We start from the raw sequence: 23,325 nt of genomic DNA on the forward strand, positions 1-23,325 counted from the left end.
GGGGCTCCTCCACCCACACAGCCCTGAGCGTCCACCCTGGCAGCTGTTGCCCGTCTGCAGGCCCCCCCGCCCTCTGCTCCGCGTGCCCCTCCAGCTCAGGGGTCCCCTCGCCTCGGCTCTCTGCACCCCTGCTCAAAACGGTCAAAGAACCCTCCCCGGCCGTTTATTTTTCCCAGAAAGTGACAATTTTCTCTTTTCAGGTCGTAAGCACAGAACTGAGGGAGAAACTGTGGCTGAACAAGAGGAAAATGAGGAAGGAGTCCATGAAGGGGCTTTGGGGAACCTGTAACATCCTCCTCAGGCTCCCGGGGACGCCCCTGGAAAGCAGGCAGAATCGAGGGCGCTGGGGCCCCCGCGAGGGGAGCGGGAGGTCGCGCGTCTCGCAGCGGTTCCCGGCCGCCGGTGACCATCGCTGCGGACACATCCCGAGGAGGGAACCCAAGAGGGCGGCGGGGGGGACTCGCGAGCTGAACGTGGAAGCAACTCCAGCCGAGGACCCCCGGAGGCCTGGAGTGCACGGAGGGGCCGCGGGCAGCGTGGGGACGGCGCCGTCATCTCCCGAAGCCCGGCCCCGCGCTGGCTCCCCGGGCGGTGCAGGGCCGGCGTCGGGAAGGAGGCTCCGAGGCGCCGGCTTCTGCGCCCCACGCAGCGCCGCTCCCCGCGCCCGGGCGCTTTGCAGGCGCGGGCGGGATCCGGGCCAGCGTGTACGCGAAAGCCACGCGCGGGCGCAGCCCACGAGGGGAGGGGCGGGGAAAGGCCTCCTCTTCGCTCCCGGCCCCGCCCCCACACGGCCACCGAGGCGTGCGGTCCTCCCGGGGCCCAGAGCGTCCCGGAAGTGCGCGCCGGCCGGGCGGAGTGGGGCGGGGCCGGACACTTCCGTCCGGCGCGCGGCGTCCTCCTCCCGCTCGGAAGGTGAGTGGGCGCGGGCGGCGGCGGCGGCTCCGGGTGCCTGGGACCAGCCCAGTCCGAGCTCGTGCGCCGTACTCCGCGGTGCAGCCCTGCCCAGCCGGGCCGTGCGGCCCTTGCAGCCGCCGCTCGCCGTGACCTTGGCCTTGGGCCAAGCCCGGGGAGCGGGGTGGGCTCCTGGGGGTCGCGGAGCAGCAGCGGACCGCCCCGCCCAGCGGCCCTGGCGATAGCGGGTGTCCGTTCGCAGGGCGCCTTTCCCAGGCACCCAGTGACGGCAGCTGTCGTCATCGCCACTCTGCAGATGGGAAACTGAGGCCCGGAGGTCCCGCCGCTCCGGAGCGAGGAGCCGCCGGACCCCAGCGCCGCACCGCCGGGCGGACGCGCTCTGTGCCGAGCTCCCGGCGATTGGGTCCGCTCCCACGGGGCTGGGAACAGAGGGGCAGAGGATGCTTCCCCCGAGCCGCTGGCAGGAGTGCCCTTCCCCCTTCAGTCTGGAGCTCAGAGTTTGTGCGTCCCTGGGGGTGAAGGGGCGTCCACGCTGTGATGGTCGCCTCTGCTCAGTCCTGGGGGCCAAGCCAGGGTCGGGGTGATCGAGCAGGCCCTTTTACCAGGTGTCCCCAGTAAGTTAACTAAGTAACTTGAGATGTGACTTCAGGGTGGAGGACCTGCACCCAGTGGCCACCTACCTGGTGACCTGACCCTTCCCATCATTAGGGGATGGAGGCTGGCCCAGAAGCCGGGCACTGGGGTGGCGGCCGTGTGGGAGCTGCCTCTCCCACTTCCTCGAAGCAGGCACTGTCTGCTGTTCTTAGATCTGAGTATCCGTTAACTTTTGTCCTCTTTTCCCGTTCCTTTCTTCACTCCCTGCCCCAGATTAGGAGTTCCTACTCTATCACAGTATGAAAGAAAAGTCACTTTTCACATTGGACTCAAGCCGTTTTTGCAAAGTAAACTAAGAAGTGTCTTGGAGCCCTGAGTGAGTCTCCCAGTGCTGCTGCAGGGCTGGACTAGGGGATTCCAGCCTGCAGTCTCTGAGGGCTCTGTAGGGTCTGAGGAAGAGAGTTGCCCTCTGGAAACGTCTCTTCTCTGCTGTTCGGGAAAAACCTTATTAAGATTTCCTCCAAAACACTCATGCGCAGCAGGCATGGTTCGGTTTTCAGCCCTCCCACAGGGCCAGCAGCTGAGGTTTTTCTGGAAGACTCCCTATGCCTTTCTCTGGGGGAGGGGTGATGCCACGGGCTGGAAGGAGATGCCAGAGCCTCTGCTGGGACAGGAGCTTCGCTTCAGCCCCCACAGGCGTCTGCTGTGCCGCCCAGGCGGTGGCTGCTTCCTAAGCGCGCCTTCCAAGGCGTTACTCCTTTGCTGCTGCTGCTGCTGCTGCTGTTGTTTGAGTCTTGCTGTGTCTCCCAGGCTGGAGTGCAGGGGCGCCATCTCGGCTCACTGCAACCTCCACCTCCTGATTTCAAGCTGTTCTCCTGCCTCAGCTTCCCAAGTAGCTGGGATTACAGGTGCCCGCCACTGCGCCCAGCTAATTTTTATATTTTTAGTAGAGATGGGGTTTCACCATATTAGACAGGCTGGTCTCAAACTCCTGACCTCATGATCTACCCACCTCGGCCTCACAAAGTGCTGGGATTACAGGCATGAGCCACCGTCCCCAGCCACTCAAAGCGTTATTCCTTACTGAATAAATGTGCCAGGTCCCCCAACTGCCTCACCCCAGGCCTATGTGTCTCTGTGGGTTCATCCTCCATCCTTGCTCCTCCTGGAGTGGATAAACCTCCATCTCCCCTTGGAGAGCTGGCATGTTGCCTCCTCCTGCACCATCCCCCCGACATTCCTCCCAATCCCCTCATCTGCCATGGTTTTCATTTTCCCCAGGTCCCAGGTGTGACACCTTCAGCAGGTCTCAGGGAAGATGGCAGCCCTAGGGGACATTCAGGAGTCCCCTTCTGTCCCGTCCCCTGTCAGTCTCTCATCACCGGGGACACCTGGAACCCAGCACCACGAGCCTCAGCTTCACCTCCATGGGCATCAACATGGTACTCACCCAGCCCGCTGTGCGCCCTCCACCCTGCATCCCCTGCCCTCACGTCCCCTGCCCTGTCTCCTCCTGACCTGCCACGCTGGCTGACTTGAGAGGCGCCTCCAGACACCTGTATGCAGCTCCTTCAGCAGCTGGGGTTCCCACACCCTCAGGCCAGGGGCTCGGCGCGGGTTGGGTTGGGGCAGCGGTGGTTGAGGCTGGGGCCAAGCCTGAGCTCTCGCTCCCTAGGGACAGCTCCCCGCATTGTTTCTTTCCTGAGTTGAGGTATAGGAGGGAAAGTGGCCTCAAAATCTGGATCCAGCGTGACCAGGAGCAAGGCATCGCCCCTCTGAGTGTGTGTTGTCATTCAGGAAGTGGAGCAGCCAGAGTCCTTGCCAAGCTGGTTTGGGTGTGATCCCCCGGGACTCGCAGGGACAGAGCGCCAGCCTTGCTCCACCCCTGATGTTGTGGCCTCATGGTCACATGGCAGGCTCTGGGAGTTGAGGTGTGGGGGAGTCCCAGCCCCATAGTGCCCCTGGCTCTACTCCCTCTCAGAGGTCAGGGATCCTGAGGCTACATCTCTGCTGGGTGTTCCACAGGAGGCCTGGCCTCGGCCCTCGTGGCCCAACCCAGCACATGAGCTGCTGACAGCAGGGGCAAGGCCCCATATAGGTCAAGCCTGGAGAGCCCGTGCCTGGCCCAGGAATGGGGGCAACCTGGCACAGGGTTCTCCCTCTTGGGGAGTCAGAGTCCTGGTGGCTGAAGGGACCACTGAGGCTTGTGGAGAGCAGCTGCGCTGCATGGGGCCCTCAGGTGGGCACTCAGATGGGGACAGAGAGTCCGGGGGGCTCCCCCAAGGAGCCAGGACCAGGGTGAGTTAGAGGAGCAGGGAGCCAGGCAGCTTGGCATCCACTCCCCTGCAGCCCTGCCGTCTCCGCTGCGGTGTCCCGAGCAACTCCCCAGGGACTGCGAGGAGGCTGGGAAGGGGCGCCCGTGGGCTGCCTGGGCTGCCTGTCCTGGTGGACCTGGCCAGGGGCTACCTGGAAGGATCCCAAGCCCCTGCAGCACACACTGTGGCTGGGCCTCCAGCCCATGCCCCTGAGGGCCGTGCTCCTCACCCCTTAGTCAGAATCTCAGGGCCCACCCTTGCCCTCTCATGTCATCTGTACAATGGCTGAGAGGAGTTCTCCTGTCCCGTTACCAGTGGGGACACAGAAGCCCAGAGACAAGGCCAGGAGGTCAGCAGACTCAGGGCATGCCCTGGCACCCCCCCAGGCCTGATGAGGTGTGACTTCTCTAGGGGGACAGTTTCTGAGGGAGGGCACAGCCCAGCAGATCATCTTGGCACAGCACAGGACACACACTGAGGTGGCTGCAGGCCAGTTTCTGCAGGATAAGAAACTGACGCCCAGGTGGAGGGTGGGCTGGGGAGCATGGAGGGGCCTGGGGCCAGGCCCCCTGAGCCTGCAGGGTTGCGCTACCCCCAGCCCTGTCTCCACCAGCTGTGGGCAGCCAGGCCCAGAAAGCCAGGCATGAGTCCCCAGCCCCACAGGCCTGGAAGCCTCCTGGGCACTGGAGCCATGTCCGAGTGCCCTGAAACCCCCAGGGGTTTTGCCCCGTGGGAGGGAGTGGGGGCTGCACCAGCAGCTTCTGCCGTCTCCTTGCTGTGCTAGAAACAACATCCAGGGAGGACAGATGAGCTGGGCCCTGAGAACAGCAAGTGTGGCTGCTTTCCCCCAGCAAGAGACTGTGGCAGGAGGAGATTGTGGCTGAGGCACAGCGGGGCCTGGGAAGGCTGTCAGGTAGCCAGAGCCAGATAAGGGGGCGGCCTTCATCCCCTCTTCATGCTGATAGGCCTGGTGTAGAGAGAACGGGGCCAGGCCGCAGCAATGGGCAGCTACTGTCCCAACTTCCAGGCACTGGGTGAAGGCAGGGGCTGTTTCTGGGCGTTTCCAGCTTCCTCTGCTCCTTGGGAATGCCCAGGGGCCACAGATTCCTAAGCAGGGGAGACCTCGCTGTTTCTGGAACTTGCCCAGGGCCATCCTGCCAATTAGGGATCAAGACAGGACTTGGAGCCGCAGCCTCCCAACTCCCAGAAAGAAGTTTGCAGTGGGCCAGACCGAGGTTCCTGGGGCCCACCCCAGGCACATGTGGTCACCTCAGGAGCCTCTGGTGGGTGCGTTGCTGGGCACCAGGCCGTGACGTATCAGGGAGCAGAGGAGGTCCCAAGTAGGAGCCGTTTATCAGTGGGGAGGGTCGTGAGGGGCATGAGGAGCGGCCGGGTAAGGTTCTCTGCGGTGGTCCCTGCAGCCATGAAGCTGGGGTCCCACAGCAAAGGACTTGGGGCCATGGCCTAGCCCAAGCCTTGCAGAGCGGGGAGACCAGGCGGTGGGAACAGGCCACAGTTCCTCATCTCCCAGGACCTCTGTGGTCCCCACGGAGATGCAGATCAGGAGCTGGGCTGGGCTTGGGGGACTGAGGGTCCCCACACAGCTTCTCAGGGATTGTGTTGTGCCCCAAGGCCACGCCCACCAGAGCCAGCACTGCCTGGGCCGGTTCTGGAAGGTTTACCCAGGGGTCCTGCGAGTGGAGGGGCAGTCTGGGCAGGAAGAAGTGAGGGAGGGGAGGCCTGGGACCCTTGGGGGCTTGCAGCCCTGTGGGGGTTACTGAGTGCCCAGGCTGTTAGGGAGGACCCCATGGGCAGGGCAGGGCCACCCCGCGACAGGCACAGCATCTTTCCACATGGAGCGCCTGGCCTTGGCACCTGAGATCTGGACTCTAGGTTCCCACAGACCACCCCCCAGCGCCTAGCTTGCTCCCCTAACTCACCCTGGTCCAGGCCCGGGCACACAGCACTTGCTGTGCCATTTAATACACAAAGGCCCTTCCAGCCAGGAAAGCACCCACCTGCCGCCTGTCCCCAGACGTGTACAGCCACCTCACCTCCACTTGGAAGACCAGCCCCAGCAGGTGGGCAGCCCTGGTGTTTCTCCAGTTCGGGCCACACTGTCCCTGTGTCACAGCACAGTGGGAGGGCACTGGCCAGGTGAGGGGTGGTGAAACTGAGGCAGGGGTACTTCTGCATAGAGCCAGCAGGGTGGGGAGCAGGGTCTGGGTGTGCACCCTGTGGAGACCTGGCACAGCCTGGGCACAGCCAGCAGGTGGCAGGTGACTGAGCTCTGCAGAAATGGCCCGAATGTGGGCAGGTGTCAGGATCCAGGGTTAGGCAGTGGAATGACAGTGACCCATGCAGCCCACACCTGACCCTAGGCCACCCCCATCCTCCCCTAGAGAAGGTCCTAGGAAGTGCTTTGCTGCCTGCACAGGGCAGTTCCCAGGGAGCTGGGGGCCATCCTGAGTCGGCTTGTTCCGCAGCAGGGTAGAGACGGTGCACACCACCTGGCGTTGCTTGACTCTGAGGGTGTCTCCGGGCACCCCTACAGCTGGCAGCGGCTTTGGCGTGCTTCCTATCTTGGTAATGTCACTGGCCCTCTTAAAGTGACAGCCCGGGGAACATCCTGCCTGTCAGTGCCAGGGCATGGCCCCAGGAACAAAGCTGGAATCGGGGTCACTTTCTTTCTCAAAGGGCTGCCAGGTCCTCTCCAGTGGTGTCCCAGCGCAGGGCAAAGGTGGCAAGGCTGTCTCAGGTGATGTCCTCACCGCCCCCTCTGTAGGAGCATGGCGCTGGAGCCTGCCCTGTATTTGGCCATCTGTGGAACAAGCCAGCTCCCCTGGCTGCCAGGGGATGGTGACATGGTGCCCCCAGGCCTGTCTCCACAATGGGGAGGGTATCCGAAAGACCCAAAGATGGTTTGGGACCCCCACATCCTGCTTTGGGGCAGCCAAGCAGTTCTGGACCCTCGGCTCTCGAGGAAGGGACGTCGCACAGCCGCCCCCACCTGCTGAACTTCCCAGCCCTTCATATCGGGCCTCCCCTCACTCCTCAGCCTGGGTTCGGAAGGTCTCCCAGGGGCCGACCTGAGGGCGGGAGGGCGTGTCGGGTGAGTGAGTGGCTGGCTGGACTGGGGAGGTCCCCCCTCCATGGTGGGCCAAGCTGGTCACCCCACCGCAGCTGGGGCAGGCCTGCCTGAGGCTGGAAAGCCCCATGAAAAGCTCACAGCCAGGCACTGTTATGAACGGGGTGTCACAGCCAGGCACTGTGTTATGAACAGGGTGTGGACAGGAGCCTCTGCCCACCCCAGCCCTGCGTCTTTCTGTGCCCATCTCTGCATTGTCATTGCTGGGGACACCCAGATTCGGCCTCACGGGGCTAAGAGACACACCCGTCCTTGAGTACAGCCCCCAGCCACCCTCTCTGCTGTGGGCAGAGGGCAGGTGAGGCACCAGGGTGGCACAGCACTGAGGGGGCAGGTGAGGCACCAAGGTGGCACAGCACTGAGGAGACAGGTGAGACCCCCAAAGGGGCCTGGTGCCCCTGCTGGCGTGAGGAGAGCTGACCACTGGCCTCGGGCAGTGGAGCCCACGCCCCTCCCTTTTCAGTCTGTGCTCCTTGAGCATTAAGGCCATCCCCCCACCCTGCCCCCACCAAGTCTTGGGTGGGAGGGGGGTCTTGGTCCTGGGTGCCCAAGCCTGGTGTGCCCAGGGGTGAGGGGCTCATAGATGGGCCCAGCCCATTCCTCAGGCTCTGCCTGAGGAAGCCAGGGGCCAGTGCGCTGGGCCTGCTGGAAGCAGCTGCCTCTGCTGTTTCTGGGCGCTCGTCAAGGACAGCAGAGAGCCCCGGAGGGACAGAAAGGTCTGGGGCCAAGGCAGGAAGGCTTTGTGAGGTACGGGTGTGGGAGCCTGCAGGGCCAGCACTTTGAGAGGCCGGTCCAGAGCAGCACTGCAGGATGCTGGGGCATGGAGGAGGGTGGGCCACAGCCCACCAAGGTGACAAAGCCGCCTTCAACGGCAGGAGGGCCGCTTCAAAGCTCCCCCAGGTTTTGGCTCTGCTTACTGGGCTGAAGGGGAATGAGCTCCCAATGCTGGCCCCTGGAGGAGGAGGCTCTTGAACCGAGCTGGGAAGGAAGGTAAAGGGCATTCGTGGCTAGAGAAGCCCAAGCAGCGGGCCTGCTGTTGGGATTGGGAGGGCCAGGAGGTGTCCTGTGTCAGGGCCACAGCCCGGGAGCACGTGGCGGTCAGAGAGGAGCGGAGGCAGTGGTCCAGAGGGTGGAGGTGAGCCCCAGCCTCCCTGACCCCCAGGCTCCCCTGGCTCCAGCCCTAAGGTGCTCTCCCAGCCGTCCGACCTGGATCTCCAAGACGTAGAGGAAGTGGAGATCGGCAGAGACACCTTCTGGCCCGGTGAGTGAGCAGAATCGGGTTACTGGGGGACCAGAGCTCTGCGCGTGCCAGGCTCCTCACAATGCCCACCTCTGTGGCACCCCCAATGCTGGCACCACCCCCTTCCTGGGGCCCCTTTTCTTCCCTGGCATCAGCTCACCTCTGCCCCGTGGCCCCTCCCCCACTCTAATGCCAGTCCAGTTACTGATGCTTCCCGAGGCGGTGACTGCAGCCCACAGCCACCTGCGCCAGTGGCCCCACGTGGACTCCTGCCGGCCCCAGCTGGACACAGTGAATCAGGAACTCCTCCCTCCCCTCCACCTGCCTTGGGCTGGGGCTTCTGGCTCAGGGCACCACTGTCCCCCCAGATCCACGAGTTATCCTGTGTCCCCTCCTCCTCCTGCATCCCCTAGATGGCCTCCCCTCAGCCTGGTTGGAGCTGTGTCCAGGTCCCCTGCACCTCCCCCTTGAGAAGCTCCCAGGGTTCCCTCTGGGCGATGTTAGTGATATGGCTGGATTTAACAGTGCTGAGCCCTCGCCCACATCTGGGCGGCCCTGGGGTGGGGAGCAGGTGTCTGAGGTCAGGTCCCTGGAAAGAGACCCTGGGCCAGAGATTTGCGTGGGAAGCTCCTGGGGTGGGCATGGGAGCTGGGCGGCAGCACACTTGCCACCGAGGCCTGGGGCAGCCCCATGAGGAGCTGTGCCCATATGGACCACATCCTCGGCAAGGGCTTTGAGGCGCCCTCTGGAGCTCTGGCGTCCCCCAGGCTCCGGGTCCTCACCAACACTTAGTGCTTCCTCCTGGCTAAGGGTGACCCCATGGTCTGTCTTGCCACTGTGGCTCCGTGCACCGGCACGGCCGCCGTGGTGACTGTGGATGGTCCCAGCAGCTCTGGGTCACCCTGCAACGCCCCCCACCCCTGTGTCTATGTCAGCTCTCCTGGGCACGGCACTCCGAGCCCCTGTCCGCTTGTCTCCCATCCACTGGGTGCCTGGCCCCTCCTTGTCCCCTCTAAGCCCCCCCGTCCAGCTCTGCTCTCACTCCCCGTCCCCGTCCCTCCGTGCCACGGTGGGGGCATGCGGGTACTATCCGCCTCTGCCGTTTCTCATTTCAGACTCCGAGCCCAAGCCGGAGCAGGCTCCACGCTCTCCTGGCTCTCAGGCCCCTGACGAGGGGGCGGGCGGGGCGCTGCGCAGCCTCCTGAGGAGCCTTCCCCGCAGGGCCCGGTGCAGCGCCGGCTTCGGGCCTGAATCCAGCGCGGAGCGGCCGGCGGGCCAGCCGCCTGGGGCCGTCCCTTGCGCCCAGCCGCGGGGCGCCTGGCGCGTGACGCTCGTGCAGCAAGCAGCGGCCGGGCCCGAGGGTGCGCCCGAGCGGGCTGCCGAGCTGGGAGTCAACTTCGGTCGGAGCCGGCAGGGCAGCGCGCGGGGGGCCAAGCCGCACAGGTGCGAGGCCTGCGGCAAGAGTTTCAAGTATAACTCGCTGCTCCTGAAGCACCAGCGCATCCACACGGGCGAGAAGCCCTACGCCTGCCACGAGTGCGGCAAGCGCTTCCGCGGCTGGTCGGGCTTCATCCAGCACCACCGCATCCACACGGGCGAGAAGCCCTACGAGTGCGGCCAGTGCGGCCGCGCCTTCAGCCACAGCTCGCACTTCACGCAGCACCTGCGCATCCACAACGGCGAGAAGCCCTACAAGTGCGGCGAGTGCGGCCAGGCCTTCAGCCAGAGCTCCAACCTGGTGCGCCACCAGCGGCTGCACACGGGTGAGAAGCCCTACGCCTGCAGCCAGTGCGGCAAGGCCTTCATCTGGAGCTCCGTGCTCATCGAGCACCAGCGCATCCACACTGGCGAGAAGCCCTACGAGTGCTCCGACTGCGGCAAAGCCTTCCGCGGCCGCTCGCACTTCTTCCGGCACCTGCGGACCCACACGGGCGAGAAGCCCTTCGCGTGTGGCGCCTGCGGCAAGGCCTTCGGCCAGAGCTCCCAGCTCATCCAGCACCAGCGGGTGCACTACCGCGAGTAGCCGGGCGGGGGCTCGGGGCTCGGCCTCCTACCTGCCCCCAACCCACCCTCCACCCCGTCCCCCACGGTGGGCACTGCCCAGCACCGCATGCCACGTGTCCGGAATAAATTCTTTTTGATTGTTGGAAGTGGGAGCCGGCACCTGCCTGGGTGAGACCTTGGGGCAGCTTCCTGTCCCCGAGGACCCGCTGCGGGATGGGGGTGATGGGGCTGCTCCACCAAGACCTGCCATACAGGGCCACGGGGTCCCTGGGGTCTGGCGGGCGGCCCGAGTGTCGTAGGGGAGGATCTGAGGCCTGGAGGTGTCCTGACTTGCCCAAAGCTGATACCCCACCATCAACACGGGAGGCGGGGGGGGCGCGCCCAGAGCAGGGGTCGAGGACGGGGCCAGTCTAGAAGTGCTCACAGGCCTGGCCAGGCTGCCTGTCTGCCACCTGGGTGAGGGGTCTCTGGCAACTCGGTTCCCTTATGTATTTGGGAGGCCTCTGCTTCTGTAAATGCAGCAGGCTTCCCCACGTGCCCTGTCAGCTCTGCTGCCTCCATTCAGTGGGGGGCCTGCTGGGCAGCAGTGGCCCGGGCTTCCTCTGCACCAGCCCCTTGCCCTGGGGTGTGGGGGCCCAGGGTGTTCAGGTCTTGACAGGTGTGGGCTGGTACGGCTGGGCCTGCCGGGCCCTCTTCAGAGCTGCCGGAACACTGCTTCTGGGCAGGGGAGTCTGGGCCACGAAGCTCTGGGAGAGCTCAGCTGGGGGTGGCTCCAAGTGCTGAGTGCCAGTGATTCTGCCAGTGCCTTCTCCCTGCCCTGCCTGTGCCCTCCGGGACAGCTGGCAGACCCCGGACCCCAGCCTGGCTCCTCCGAGGCTGTCCCTCTCCAGGTCTCACCTCCCCTCCTACTGTGACTCATCCAGAACCCCGGGCCTGGCCCCCAGATGTGCCTGTGGCGGGCCTCTGAGGTCACTGTCCTGGTGAAGACGAAGGCTACCGTCCCCGCTTTCTGGCAGTGTCTGCGAGGGCCTGCGCAGCGCGCATCTGATGTCATCAGCCCCCAGCAAGCCCGTTTTCCAGAAGAGAACCCGGAGGCTCCGAGGTGACGTGTGGCTTGCTCGAGATCACACGATCAGTGACGGCACCAGATGAATCCCTGAGCTCCCTGACCAGCCATCCACCCAGGCCCCTGCTGAGACAGCGGGACCTCGTTTCCAACTCAGAAGCCCCCGGAACGCGGCTGCCCGGCTTGGGAGCCTGCGGCACAGGGCCCTGTGCAGCCCCTTGGGGAAGACGGCCCCAGGCTCTGCCAGCCCCCGCCACCCTCTCCAGACCATGCTCTGGGGGCCCTATGGCCACCAGCGCTCTGGACGCCCCACTCTGCCAGGTGAGAACGAGTTTAGGGGTGCGGGCTGGAGGTCAGTGTGTCTGTCCGAAGTCAGCTGGGAGGCAGGCGCCTACTTGAGGCGTCCTTGCTGGTGTGCGGTGGGCCTGGGGTTCAGACTGTCTGCCTGAAAGGTAAGGGTGAGGACGCCTGCATTCTCCTTGTTCAGTAACACGCGTGGGCAGCCAGGCCGAGGTGCTGGCTCTACTAGGGGATTCATCTGGTGCCGTCACTGATCGTGTGACCTCGAGCAAGCCACGAGTCACCTCGGAGCCTCCGGGTTCTTCTCTGGAAAACGGGCTTGCTGGGGGCTGATGACATCAGATGCGCGCTGCGCAGGCCCCCGCAGACACCGCCAAAAAGCGGGGACGGTAGCCTTCGTCTTCAACAGGACAGTGATCTCACAGGCCCACCACGGGCACACCTGGGGGCCAGGCCGGGGGTTCTGGAGGAGTCACAGCAGGAGGGCAGGTGAGACCTGGAGAGGGCGACCCCGGCGCCCGGGTTGGACTCCCGCCCGCTGCGACCGGAGAGGGGAGCCCGGCGGTCCTCCACGCCGTCCCAGATAGTCCCGGAAGTGGCCGCAGCTCCTGGAGGGGCGGGGAGGGGGCGGGGCCATGCGCACTCGCGGCAGCCCGCACGAGACTCCCGCAGCGGCAGCTGACGGGAGGCTTCCCGGAGAAGGAAGTGGGGTGCGGCGGGTCCTGGGCCAGGCAGGGCTGTTCCTCCGCGCCGGGTCCTAAACTCTCTGCAAGGTCTCTGTGTCCTCCCTCGTTGGGCAGGGCCCGCGAGATGCGCTGAAATGGCATTTACGTCTTTCCCAGTGTCCTCAGTGCCTTCTCCAAGCCCGCGGGCACGGGGCTGATTCTCGAACGTGCCATCTGATCCACTCAACATTTCTCGGGAACCCCAGAGCGGCCCGGCAGGACCCAGGCGTGGACTTTTAAGGGCATTTTTCTACCTTGTGGTGGCTGCCGGGTTTATCAGCGTGCAGTTGAACCGGACGTGATATTCCTGAGCCCTCCCGGGACGCCTGCGACCCTGAGCTGTGCTCGGCCTCTTGGTCACGCCTCTCCCCATCCTCCTTCGATTTGCGTCACACGAGGGCCGCTTGTCCGGGTGGCCGCCCCCGGGGCTGGCTCGGAGCCCCGTCCCACCCCTGCCGGCTCTGCCCCATCCCCCGCCACCAGAGGAACCTGGACGCAGACCACCTGGAGCATCTCCAGCTCAACGGCCAATCTCCAACCCACACCACCTCCAAGCCCACACCACCACCCCTCTCCCTCCTCCGACCCAGGACCCCGATTCTCAGCCTTCGCCCTCTCTCTCCTCCCCGAAGTGACCAGGGATCTTCCTAAAGATCCCATGGTATCTGGGAGCCAAGGTTTGGGATCTGCCAGCCCTGATTCCATAACCCACACTTATCCTTCCTCACGGAGCCTGTTTCTGCCTCTGACAATGGTGGTTAGCGCAGCCCGCTCCGCACCGCACATGGCGGCTGCAAGGACGGCATGGGTGGGGTTCTTTGCACAGTGCCAGGTACATAGCAAATCCCCACAAAAAGAGCTCCTGGAAGGGCTCTGTCAACAGCGTGAGTGGACAGTCTCAGCAGAGGACCACCTGAGGCTTGGGTTGGTCACAGCAAATGTGAGAGACCAGGAAAAGGGGTGCATGTGAGTTCTGGAACCCAGAAAGTGATCATCTGTATCTGGCACAGTATCTGCTTTTGAGCCCAGAAGGAAATAAAGGCCCTGGAGGGGCGCTGAACCCTAAAGCACTGGAGCTGCAGGGAGAGGTCTTCTGAGGCAGCTTCTGGCAGCCCCAGACAAGGGGAGGGCCAAGTGCTGACCTAACCATGGCCTTGGGGGCAGGTGTGCAGGCCTATGGATTAGCAAATAAGGACCGAAACATGCTTATGGATTAGCAATTAAGGACCAAAACATGCCTATGGATTAGCAATTAAGGACCAAAATGAGCTTAAGTTTGGACCCTTTTCAGTTCACAAGCGTTTTTATTTTTACATACATATATGTAGCATGGTGTATTGGCTAAGAAAATCGACCTTGGAATTTCAAGCCCAACTCTACAGTTAACTGTGAGGTTGGATGAGTTATTAATGTCTCTGAATCTATTTCCTGATTAGTAAATGATGTATTATGGTTCTCCAGAGAAACAGAACCAATGATGTGGGGTGGGGGAGGACAAGAGAAAGAGGGTTATTATCAGGAATGCACTCACAGGGTTATGGGGGCTGGGCAGTCCCAAGACCTGCAGCTGTCAAGCAGAAGAGCTGATTGAAAGCCAGTAGACTTGAGACCCACAAAGAGCTGATGTCTCCATTCAAGTCTGAAGGCAAGAAAAGACGTAGGTCCCGGTTCAGTCAGGCAGGAGGTGGTTCCTATGCGGGCCTTGAACTAATTGAATGAGGCCCACCCACATTATGAAGGGCACTCTGCTTCACTCAGTTCACAAATTCAAATGTTAATTTTATCCAAAAACACCCCCACAGACACACTCAGCACACACAGTGTCACTACTTACTCTCAGATTGCTCTCCAGACTGGGGGAACCAATTGACAAGGCCCCCAGCTCCCCCAGCTATGAGACTACATTCCCCATAACTTTTCAGCATGTTCACTTGATTCTCCAACCTTAACAGACTTGTGATATTACTTTAATGGCAAACAAGGCTCTGCTGTCCCACGCGCTTACTTTGCCACATGGCACAGTATCTGTGTCACAGACGCACTCTTCCCAAGGACAGGTCCAGGCCTGTGTCAGTCACTGCTTCATCCCAGCACCTAGCACAGGGCCTGACTCATGGTGAGCTGTGGACAAACGCACATGCAATTAACGACTTGTTCCTGCCTCAGGGTTCTCTTTTCCAGATGAGTAGAACAATTCACATTTTTTCACTCCTTACTTCAGACTGGGAGAAAGGGCCTGAGCAGAAGGATCAGAGTTCAAAGGAGGGGACACAGCGCCACAGAGGCAATGCCTGGAGCAACAAAGATTGGGGTTTGGGCATGTACTGGAGTGAGAGTGGAAAGGGCATGGAAGTCAGGGTCCAGTCAGAAGACAGAGGCCTCGTCAGTTATTTCAACAGAGAGGATTTCGCATCATGAATCACTATGTACGAAGTGACTACCGAAGGAGCTGAAAAGAGAACTCTATCTCAGAAGCAAAAACTGCAGGGAGCACCTGCTACGCTAGGGCTGTGGAAACAAAGGGAAGCGTTTGGAATTACTGGGGTCAGAAAGCCTGGGAACTAAACCCCTAAGGAGAGGGCTTCGCAGGTCTCTGGTCCCTGACCTGGCCCCGAGGGTGGGGACAGATCCCCGAGGCGAGGCGTCGATGGCTGCGGTCTGAGGTCTCTAGCGGGGGGCCGATGAAGCTCTTCTGCGAAGTTGGGAACCCGCGCACCAGTTTTAGCAGCCGCGGAAGGAAGTGCTCTTGCCGGGGCGAAGCAGCAGAGTTCGGAAGACACGCGACCAGGGCACCAAACAGACCGGAAGCCTGAGGAAAAAACCGGAAGCAAACCGGAAAGAGTGTGCCCCTCTCTCCTCCGCAGCCTCGCGCGCTTTCTCTGGCGCCCCTAGTGGGAAAGCCTAGCATGGCACCAGCTGGCCAAGCAGAAAAAGGTTTGCGGAGACCGGGCCAGCCGCAGAGGTGGAGCTGAGGGTCAAAACCTCCTCCCTGGAGCAGGAGGGCAGAGAGGCCTTCCTTGTACGTTCGAGCGGATTCATAAGATAAATGGTGAAGGACTCAGATGGCTGAGATGAGATTTTGTAGAAAAACCTCGCCGAGTGCCAAGTGCAGCTAGGGCTTCAGGAGTCCAGCCTGGTTTGTAAGCCTCGAGGAGCCCACGCGTGGCCGCAGGTGCAAATGGTCTCAGAGCAGCCATGCACGGGAGAATTCCTCCCAGGGAGAAACGCCGTGAATGTGACTTCTAGGGACACGCACAGCCGGTGGAAACCGTATGCATGTAGTGTGCATAGGTGAGATGTAATGGAACACTGGAGAAGCACCTTGTGAACGTGGGAAGGGTTTCGCGCATGCTCAGGCTCCGTTCGGGATCAGAACATTCCCGCAGGAGAGAAGCCAATGAGCAGCACTGGACGTGGCCACACCTTCGTGGAAGCGCTGGTCCTCAGGCATCAGAGTGGACATAGAGAGGCCCTGCAAATGTAATGACTGTGGGAACGCCCGCCTCCTGAGTTCATGCTGCCGTGAGGGAGCGGACTGTGGGTGCGGGCATGCGGAAAGGTCTCAGATAATCCCCACTGGAGAGGAACACTGTGGATGTCATCCACGCAGCAGAATCGGATAAATTGCACCAAGGGACCCCACCCCCACCCCCTGTGCAGTGACCACCGCAAAACCTTTAAGCAAAGATCTCATGCCCCGAAATGCCAGGGCCGTCACCAGGGATGCAGCAGGGAGTGAAACACCCATCTCTTTTCTCACACCAAACCGTAGCCAAGGGATTCACCACGAGGTGAGCCGGTGCGAGAGGGAGGACTCTGCAGGCGGAGACTGCCCTCGGGGTTGTGGCCTCAGAACGGGGTCCTGCTCCCTGGAGACATGGACCCTGTTTCTTACAGTAGCTTTTGTGCATCATGGGCAGGCAGTGCCAGTTGACACCAATCAAGTCTCAACACTCAGCCTGCACACGTGCAGATCCTCTGGAAAAACGCAGCCCCTCCCATCCTCAGATCCTAAGAGAGGTAGGGGCCTTGCCCATTAGCTGACTCCAAGACAACCTGGCTGGGACTAGAAGGTGAGAGCCAACCCCTGCGGCTGCTACAAGCCCCACAGGAGGCCCGGGGAGGGTTTCCTGGCAGTGTCTTCCGAGTCGCCGCAAGTTTCTGCCCAGTTTTCACAGCCTGCTCTTCCCTGGGTTCCGGCTGGGTCTCTTCCTCAGGTATGGCTCCACGCCTCCCCTGCCCAGTTGATGCAGGTCTCGCTCTGATCACATCCAGTTCCTGTAGACCATTGGCCACTCACCAGGCCGCTTTGCCTTGCGTTTTCTAGGGTCTTGTTTCATGGGGTCATGGGAACCCACTCAGGGACCACCCAACTACCTGAGAGGCCCACTGGAAAACGCAGATTCCCAGGCCCCACCCCAAGGGATTCAGCAGGCCTCAGGGGAAGCCAGGAAATCTGGATTTAGTTCAAATACCCAAATACATTGATCATGGGCCTGGTTCGGGAATCTGTTCTCCTCCAAGCCCTCAAAGCAGGAGCTGCTGGCCTGCCCTCTGCAAGGCCGCTGCCCAGGCTCTCCTCAGACACCACCTGGACGGGCAGCTCGAGCCGTGGGACGCCCCTGCTTGGGCCAGAATCGGGTCCTGCACCTCAGACCTGCAGGGCCCAGCTCGGCCTCTGGGCCTCTGGCAGCCGCGCCCTGCCTGGCACCCCCTGCCTCCGTGACGCCCCATCTCTCTCTCTACAACGTAGCCCCGTGCTAGTTCACAGCCTCGCGACCCCTCCCAGAGAGGCCCCACAGCCATGGCCCCCAGCCGCGCGAGCAACGCCAGGCACTCGCCCGGCCCTGGCCCGCCACCCTTGGGTTCGCCTGGGGTCCCCCGCCAGTCTTCCGAACGGGTCCTCCGAGCTGCCTAGAGCGCCCGGAAATGCCCTCGGCATGGGGCGGGGCTTGCGGGGGCGGGGCCGCGCTGCCGACTCGGGCTGGGCTTGGCTCACTGGGCCTAGGCAGTGCCTCAAGCGTGGGATACCCTGGTCAAGTCTTTAAAGATCACAGGTTTTAAACAGATTTCTTTTTACCCAATAGCATTTATTCATACTCTTTAAAGAAATTTGGGAAGTGTAGGAAAAATAGAAGAGACAGAAATTTTCTCCTCAGCACTACGGGCTAAGTATCCCAAATCCAAACACCCCCAATTCAAAACTTTTGAGCAGCTGACATGCCGCACAAAAGGAAATACTCACTGGAACACTTCAGATTTCGGATGTGGGAATTTGGGAGGCTCACCTGCTAACTATGGTACAAATATTCCCCAAAAAAAGCCAAAGCTTTTTTTTTTGAGACAGAGTCTCGCTCTGTCGCCCAGGCTGGAGTGCAGTGGCACGATCTTGACTCACTGCAAGCTCCGCCTCCCGGGTTCACGCCATTCTACTGCCTCAGCCTCCAGAGTAGCTGGGACTACAGGCGCCCGCCACCGCGCCCAGCTAATTTTTTTTTTTTTTTTTTAGTAGACACGGGTCTTCACCGTGTTAGCCAGGATGGTCTCGATCCCCTGACCTCGTGATCCGCCCGCCTCGGCCTCCCAAAGTGCTGGGATTACAGGCGTGAGCCACTGTTCCCGGCCGCCAAAACACTTCTGGTCCCAAGCATTTTGGATAAGGGATACTCAGGCTGTACAAGGAATGTCTGTGCACGTTTTTAGCAGCTCTTGCTGTTACACTAAATAGACTTCATGGTTAGCTTGTCCCTAAAATAACCTTCACGTCCTGAGGTCTGAGATCTGCTGGGAGCAGTGCTGGAAGCCCTATTCCCCCACAGCGAGAGGGGCGCCAGCATCCCTCATTTACGGGAGGAAATCGAGACTTGGTGAGGACGTCCCACAGCCCGGATTTGAACCCAGGCTTGGATCCGAGGCCCACGTGCTTGCTCCACAATGCCCCCTGCTGGCCACCCTCCCTGCCCTCAAAGATTGCTGTAACCAGAAGTGGACGAGCATTTCGGGGAGGAATGCTCCCCGCACAAGCCGAGGGGTCTCCCAGACTCCACTTTGGTGTCCCTGGAGTGCCCATGCCAGCGACCTTTTGGTGGGTCTTTTACCCCAGATGGAACTGTCGCCAAGTGTGTCCCCATCGTGGGGAGAGGAAGTGGATCAGCAGCGTCAGGCCTTGCGGAGGTGCACTCGCACCCTCCTGCGCTACGGTCTCAGAGGCAGGAGGACGCTTTCAGGGAGCCAGCCGCTGTGGCACCTGCAGCAGTTTCAGCAGTTGGGCAGCTCCAGCCGCCCTGCCACACCCTCACTCCTCATCCACTCCAAAATTCAACGCAGCATGCCGAGCCCCAGGTACGTTGAGGCGGAAAGCTATGGTCCCCGCCCGGAGGAGCCATGCAGTTCCCCGCAGCGTGGGTGGAGGAGGAGGGACAGGTGTCCCAGTCCTTGAGTCTCAGGTGGGCAAAATCATGCCACTACTGTGGCACTCGTGTGCCTGACTCCAGGCAGGGCCTTCCCGTCCTGCCGCCCTGCACTCTGTGCATGGCCATTCTGTGAGGCTGCTGCTCCTCAAGCAGCCCGTGGGATGGGAAATCCCCTCGTTTACACGGTAGACCATCCAGCCCAGCGCCTGCTGCAGAGCCTGGGTGAACAGCGTCTGGGTGACGAGAGTAACAGGCAGGATGCAAGTGGGAGCAGGCGGCTTCCCAGGACCTCGGTCCATGTGCCCATCCAGCAGGACCCTGAGCCCAGCTCCCATCTGGGGAGAGGGCTCCACGGGGGCAGGCAAGAGGGGCTGCATGCTGAGCTCCTGAAAGCTCTAGAATGCCCTCTGTAGCCATTACACTCGACGGAGGGCATGGCGAATAGCAAGGGCTTGGGGCATGTGGTTGGGTTTTAGGTTTTTCCTTGCAGGACTGTGCTGAGCCTGCACCACTGGGAAGCCCTTGGCCTCTGCCCTTTCTCTGAAACGCTCCTCTTCTGCCTGGATGCCTTGGTCATTCTTTCCTCATCCATAACCTTGAATAGCTTCACCAAGATCCGTGCTGGTGTCAATATTTTATATTAAGTTTTCCTGGGATATGGTGTTCTTGATTTTTTTGAATTAGGGTATAATTTACATAGCGAAAATGCCCAAATTTTAAGCACTCGGCTTGACTGTTTACATGTTTACACTCTTGCTAATCCCCCCAGGTCACAGCATGGAACTTTCCAGAGCTTCTCCTCCCTTTCCCTTCCCCTCCCCCAGCTGATGGGTATTCTAGCTTCTGGAGGGCCCTGTCTGCCATCGGGCCTCTCAGGAATGGATTCGTCTGCCCGCCCTCCTGGCACTCCTTTTGCTCCACACGATGTGCTAGAGGTCACTCCGGGTGGTTCTGTGTGTCTGTTGGCCCCGTCCGCGCCGGCGTGTGGTTTCCCATTCTGAGTGTTTGCTCTGACCCCATTTTTATTGCTGGGGTTGTGTGCTTCTCAAGCCCTTTTCCAATCCCAAACCTGTGGTGTCTTTTCTGAGTTAGAACACCCTAGTGGCTACAAGGACCCCAGAGTAGGAAGCCCAGCATCCGTGCGACAAGGCTGGGTTCCCTGAGAGCCAAGCGGCCTCCCCACCTCAGCGCCCTCCCCAAACTCCTGCCCACACTTCAGGACCCGCTGGCAGTGCTGCTTGAGTCACTGCTCCCTGCTCTCTGCTTCTAATGAGGCCTCCACGCGCTGCTTTCTGGCACCTGGCAGGCGGTGCCTGCTGTGCCTGTGTTTCTCCCTTCTCTTTCGCGAGCTCCCAGGGCAGCCCCCGTGGTGCTCTGTCCACCTTCGGGGGTGTCCCTGGTGCCCAGCGCAGCAGGAGTGAATGTCCTGAGCCTGAGCCAGTTCTCCTTGACTGCACAGCACCAAGGTGCCAGTCAGTGCTGGTCAGGCTGGCCGCTAGGTCTTGGTGCACCCGCCACTTCCTACCACCCTTGCATTTTCTCCTCTTAGGGCCACTGGTGTGTCTCACCTGGAACCTGCTCACCAAAAACCCGTCTGTTACTTCACAGATCCTGCCACGCGGGAGCCCGGCACAGCTTGGCTGAGGTCTCTGCCAGGGTCTCCTGGAGCTGCCATTAAGCTGTCCTGGTCTCCGAACTCCTGTGGAGCTTGAGGTCCTTCCCTGACCATTCGGGCCGTGGCAGGATTTCCATCCTGCGGCTGTGGGGGTCAGGCCCTCGGCTTCCAGGGGTAACTCAGAGGTCTCTGCCTCCCCTGCTCCTTCTGCCAGGAGACTGGGAGTCCTTCCTTTCTGTGTCACCTGTTTCCTGGCTGCGTGTCCACTTGCTTCAGTTGACCCACGGCCTCTTCTTTGAACAACAGTCCTCTTTCTCTGAGGTCTTTTTTTGTTTGTTTGTTTTTGTTTTGTTTGGTTTGATTGGTTTGTTTTGAGACAGAGTCTTGAAGGGGTGGGTTGCCCCTCCACACCTGTGGGTGTTTCTCGTTAGGTGGAACGAGAGACTTGGAAAAGAAAAAGACACAAAGTATAGAGAAAGTAATAAGGGGACCCAGGGAACCAGCGTTCAGCATATGGAGGATCCTGCCAGCCTCTGAGTTCCCTTAGTATTTATTGATCATTCGTGGGTGTTTCTCCGAGAGGGGGATGTGTCAGGGTCACAAGACAATAGTGGGGAGAGGGTCAGCAGACAAACACGTGAACAAAGGTCTTTGCATCATAGACAAGGTAAAGAATCAAGTGCTGTGCTTTTAGATATGCATACACATAAACATCTCAATGCTTTACAAAGCAGTATTGCTGCCCGCATGTCCCACCTCCAGCCCTAAGGCGGTTTTTCCCTATCTCAGTAGATGGAACGTACAATCGGGTTTTATACCGAGACATTCCATTGCCCAGGGACGGGCAGGAGACAGATGCCTTCCTCTTGTCTCAACTGCAAGAGGCATTCCTTCCTCTTTTACTAATCCTCCTCAGCACAGACCCTTTACGGGTGTCAGGCTGGGGGACGGTCAGGTCTTTCCCTTCCCACGAGGCCATATTTCAGACTGTCACATGGGGAGAAACCCTGGACAATACCTGGTTTTCCTAGGCAGAGGACCCGGCGGCCTTCCGCAGTATTTGTGTCCCTGGGTACTTGAGGTTAGGGAGTGGTGATGACTCTTAAGGAGCATGCTGCCTTCAAGCATCTGTTTAACAAAGCACATCCTGCACAGCCCTTAATCCATTTCACCCTGAGTTGACACAGCACATGTTTCAGAGAGCACGGGGTTGGGGGTAAGGTCATAGATTAACAGAATCTCAAGGCAGAAGAATTTTTCTTAGTACAGAACAAAATGGTGTCTCCTATGTCTACTTCTTTCTACACAGACACAGTAACAATCTGATCTCTCTTGCTTTTCCCCACAGGTCTCACTCTGTCACCCAAGCTGGAGTGCAATGGCGTGATCTCAGCTCACTGCAATCTCCACCTCCCGGGCTCAAGTGATTCTCCTGCCTCAGCCTCCCGAGTACCTGGGATTACAGGCGAACACCACCACTCCCGGCTAATTTTTGTAGTTTTAGTAGAGATGGAATTTCACCGTGTTGGCCAGGCTGGTCTCAAACCCCTGACCTCAGGTGATCCACCCGCCTCGGCCTCCCAACGTGCTGGGATGACAGGAGTGAGCCACTGCGCCAGGCCCAGCTGTCTTTGTTTTTCAGGGGTGCCTTTGGTAATTTCTTCATCGTACTTTTTTTTTTCAGGGTAGCAGGTAAGAGACTCAGTGGATAGGCTCATGGAAACAGTCCTTGAAGGGGTGGTATTCTAAGACTCAGCTACTTTTTTTTTTTTTTTTTTTTTTTTTTTTTTTTTGAGACGGAGTCTCACTGTGGAGTGCAGTGGCGAAATCTTACTGCAACCTCCGCCTCCTGGATTCAAGCAATTCTCCTGCCCCAGCCTCCCGAGTAGCTGGGACTAAGGCAAGCACCAACATGCCTGGCTAATTTTTTGTAATTTTTTTTTTGGTGGAGATGGGGTTTCACTATGTTGGCCAGGCTGGTCTCGAACTCCTGACCTCGAGTGATCCTCCTGTCTTGGCCTCCCAGAGTGCTGGGATTACAGGCGTGAGCCACCTCTCCGGCCTGGACTCGGCTACTTTTGGATCAAGAAATCCAGAATTTTCTAGACTGTGAACTTGCCCTTTATCATGGACATTTACCACCTGCAACTGCCCAGAGGTTCTCTGTCTCACCCTACACCGTGAGGACCCCCTTAGCAAACAGAATTCCAGGGCGCGGGCTCTTCGCAGGATCTGAGCTATTCGCGGGCGTCCTGAGTTGCTTGGATTCACTCCCCCACCCCCATGTCCCTGGAGTCCTGCCTTGTGTTTTCGATTCTGTTTCTCAGGGGCCCCAGCGTGTGGCCTCCCATTGTGGGAGAGCAGGAGGGAAGCGGTGAGGGGTGATTTCGGAGGAGGCAGAGCCCCGGGTGTCCGTGGGAAGCTCCAAAGCCGGGCCGCGGGACGGCTACCCTGGGCTGTGACGCAGTCCAGGATCTTCGCCAAGGCACCTGCTGGAGGCCCCTCCTGGGTCCCACGACCCCGACTGCGCCTGCCGGCTGCCAGCGAGGAGGCGGGGCCAAGGCGAGGGCGGGGCCGAGGCAGGAGGGGCGGGGTCGGCCTGATGGGCGGGGCTTCCGTGTGGGCGGGGCTGCTGGCCCTGCGGTCTGAGCCAGCGGGGAGAGGCCCGGGCGGAGGAGGCTGCGGACTCCTAGAGGTTCAGTGCCGGAAGTTGGGCCTGGAAAGGGGGCACCGCCTTCCCGGTTCTGGTGGCGGGGAGTGAGGGGACGGGCGAAAGCGGCACAGGGAACAGCATGACACGGGCCTGAGGCAGGGCACATTTGGAAAGGGGCGAGGAGAGGGCAGTGGCTTCTGGCACGGCAGCAGTGGGCATACAGAGGCAGTCGGGACCCGTCTGGAAGAGCCTCCGCCCGGGGTAAGGAGCCGGGACTGTGTCTAGGAGGCAGTGGGGAGCTCCGGAGAGCGAAGCGCCTCCTGCGCAGACTCGCGTGCTT

At 60.8% G+C, this 23,325-nt stretch overlaps 1 protein-coding gene and 1 long non-coding RNA gene across 3 annotated transcripts, besides 9 other annotated features; one reads left to right on the forward strand and one right to left on the reverse strand.

Moving 5' to 3' along the window:
- Positions 339 to 1,048: a silencer, noted in NCBI's record as "silent region_19613". NCBI's record gives its function as "represses an Ori minimal core promoter by ATAC-STARR-seq in GM12878 lymphoblastoid cells {active_cell/tissue: GM12878}" and the evidence as "EXISTENCE:reporter gene assay evidence [ECO:0000049][PMID:35858748]".
- Positions 873 to 10,359, forward strand: GLI4 (GLI family zinc finger 4). Its single transcript, NM_138465.4, has 4 exons — positions 873 to 912; positions 2,788 to 2,948; positions 8,132 to 8,230; positions 9,325 to 10,359. The coding sequence occupies exons 2-4, from the start codon at positions 2,825 to 2,827 to the stop codon at positions 10,230 to 10,232; spliced, it is 1,131 nt and encodes a 376-aa protein (NP_612474.1). The 5' UTR covers positions 873 to 912; positions 2,788 to 2,824; the 3' UTR covers positions 10,233 to 10,359.
- Positions 1,209 to 1,328: a silencer, noted in NCBI's record as "silent region_19614". NCBI's record gives its function as "represses an Ori minimal core promoter by ATAC-STARR-seq in GM12878 lymphoblastoid cells {active_cell/tissue: GM12878}" and the evidence as "EXISTENCE:reporter gene assay evidence [ECO:0000049][PMID:35858748]".
- Positions 1,889 to 2,711: an enhancer, noted in NCBI's record as "H3K4me1 hESC enhancer chr8:144350631-144351453 (GRCh37/hg19 assembly coordinates)". NCBI's record gives its function as "activates a minimal SCP1, AML or CMV promoter by ChIP-STARR-seq in naive H9 embryonic stem cells {active_cell/tissue: H9 hESC(naive)}" and the evidence as "EXISTENCE:reporter gene assay evidence [ECO:0000049][PMID:30033119]".
- Positions 3,338 to 3,527: an enhancer, noted in NCBI's record as "active region_28067". NCBI's record gives its function as "activates an Ori minimal core promoter by ATAC-STARR-seq in GM12878 lymphoblastoid cells {active_cell/tissue: GM12878}" and the evidence as "EXISTENCE:reporter gene assay evidence [ECO:0000049][PMID:35858748]".
- Positions 4,313 to 4,813: an enhancer, noted in NCBI's record as "H3K4me1 hESC enhancer chr8:144353055-144353555 (GRCh37/hg19 assembly coordinates)". NCBI's record gives its function as "activates a minimal SCP1, AML or CMV promoter by ChIP-STARR-seq in primed H9 embryonic stem cells {active_cell/tissue: H9 hESC(primed)}" and the evidence as "EXISTENCE:reporter gene assay evidence [ECO:0000049][PMID:30033119]".
- Positions 8,465 to 9,108: an enhancer, noted in NCBI's record as "H3K4me1 hESC enhancer chr8:144357207-144357850 (GRCh37/hg19 assembly coordinates)". NCBI's record gives its function as "activates a minimal SCP1, AML or CMV promoter by ChIP-STARR-seq in naive H9 embryonic stem cells {active_cell/tissue: H9 hESC(naive)}" and the evidence as "EXISTENCE:reporter gene assay evidence [ECO:0000049][PMID:30033119]".
- Positions 9,109 to 9,752: an enhancer, noted in NCBI's record as "H3K27ac-H3K4me1 hESC enhancer chr8:144357851-144358494 (GRCh37/hg19 assembly coordinates)". NCBI's record gives its function as "activates a minimal SCP1, AML or CMV promoter by ChIP-STARR-seq in naive H9 embryonic stem cells {active_cell/tissue: H9 hESC(naive)}" and the evidence as "EXISTENCE:reporter gene assay evidence [ECO:0000049][PMID:30033119]".
- Positions 12,969 to 13,611: an enhancer, noted in NCBI's record as "H3K27ac-H3K4me1 hESC enhancer chr8:144361711-144362353 (GRCh37/hg19 assembly coordinates)". NCBI's record gives its function as "activates a minimal SCP1, AML or CMV promoter by ChIP-STARR-seq in primed H9 embryonic stem cells {active_cell/tissue: H9 hESC(primed)}" and the evidence as "EXISTENCE:reporter gene assay evidence [ECO:0000049][PMID:30033119]".
- Positions 13,583 to 15,128, reverse strand: MINCR (MYC-induced long non-coding RNA). 2 transcript variants are annotated; one of them, NR_120682.1, is made up of 3 exons: positions 14,910 to 15,128; positions 14,310 to 14,425; positions 13,583 to 13,943 (listed from the first exon to the last, which is right to left on the reverse strand). It is a non-coding gene; the product is annotated as an MYC-induced long non-coding RNA (long non-coding RNA). The 2 variants fall into 2 exon arrangements; NR_120683.1 differs by lacking the exon at positions 13,583 to 13,943 and having other exon boundaries at positions 14,250 to 14,425.
- Positions 14,908 to 15,057: an enhancer, noted in NCBI's record as "active region_28068". NCBI's record gives its function as "activates an Ori minimal core promoter by ATAC-STARR-seq in GM12878 lymphoblastoid cells {active_cell/tissue: GM12878}" and the evidence as "EXISTENCE:reporter gene assay evidence [ECO:0000049][PMID:35858748]".

Source organism: Homo sapiens, chromosome 8, assembly GCF_000001405.40.
Source record: "Homo sapiens chromosome 8, GRCh38.p14 Primary Assembly".
NCBI lineage: Eukaryota > Metazoa > Chordata > Mammalia > Primates > Hominidae > Homo > Homo sapiens.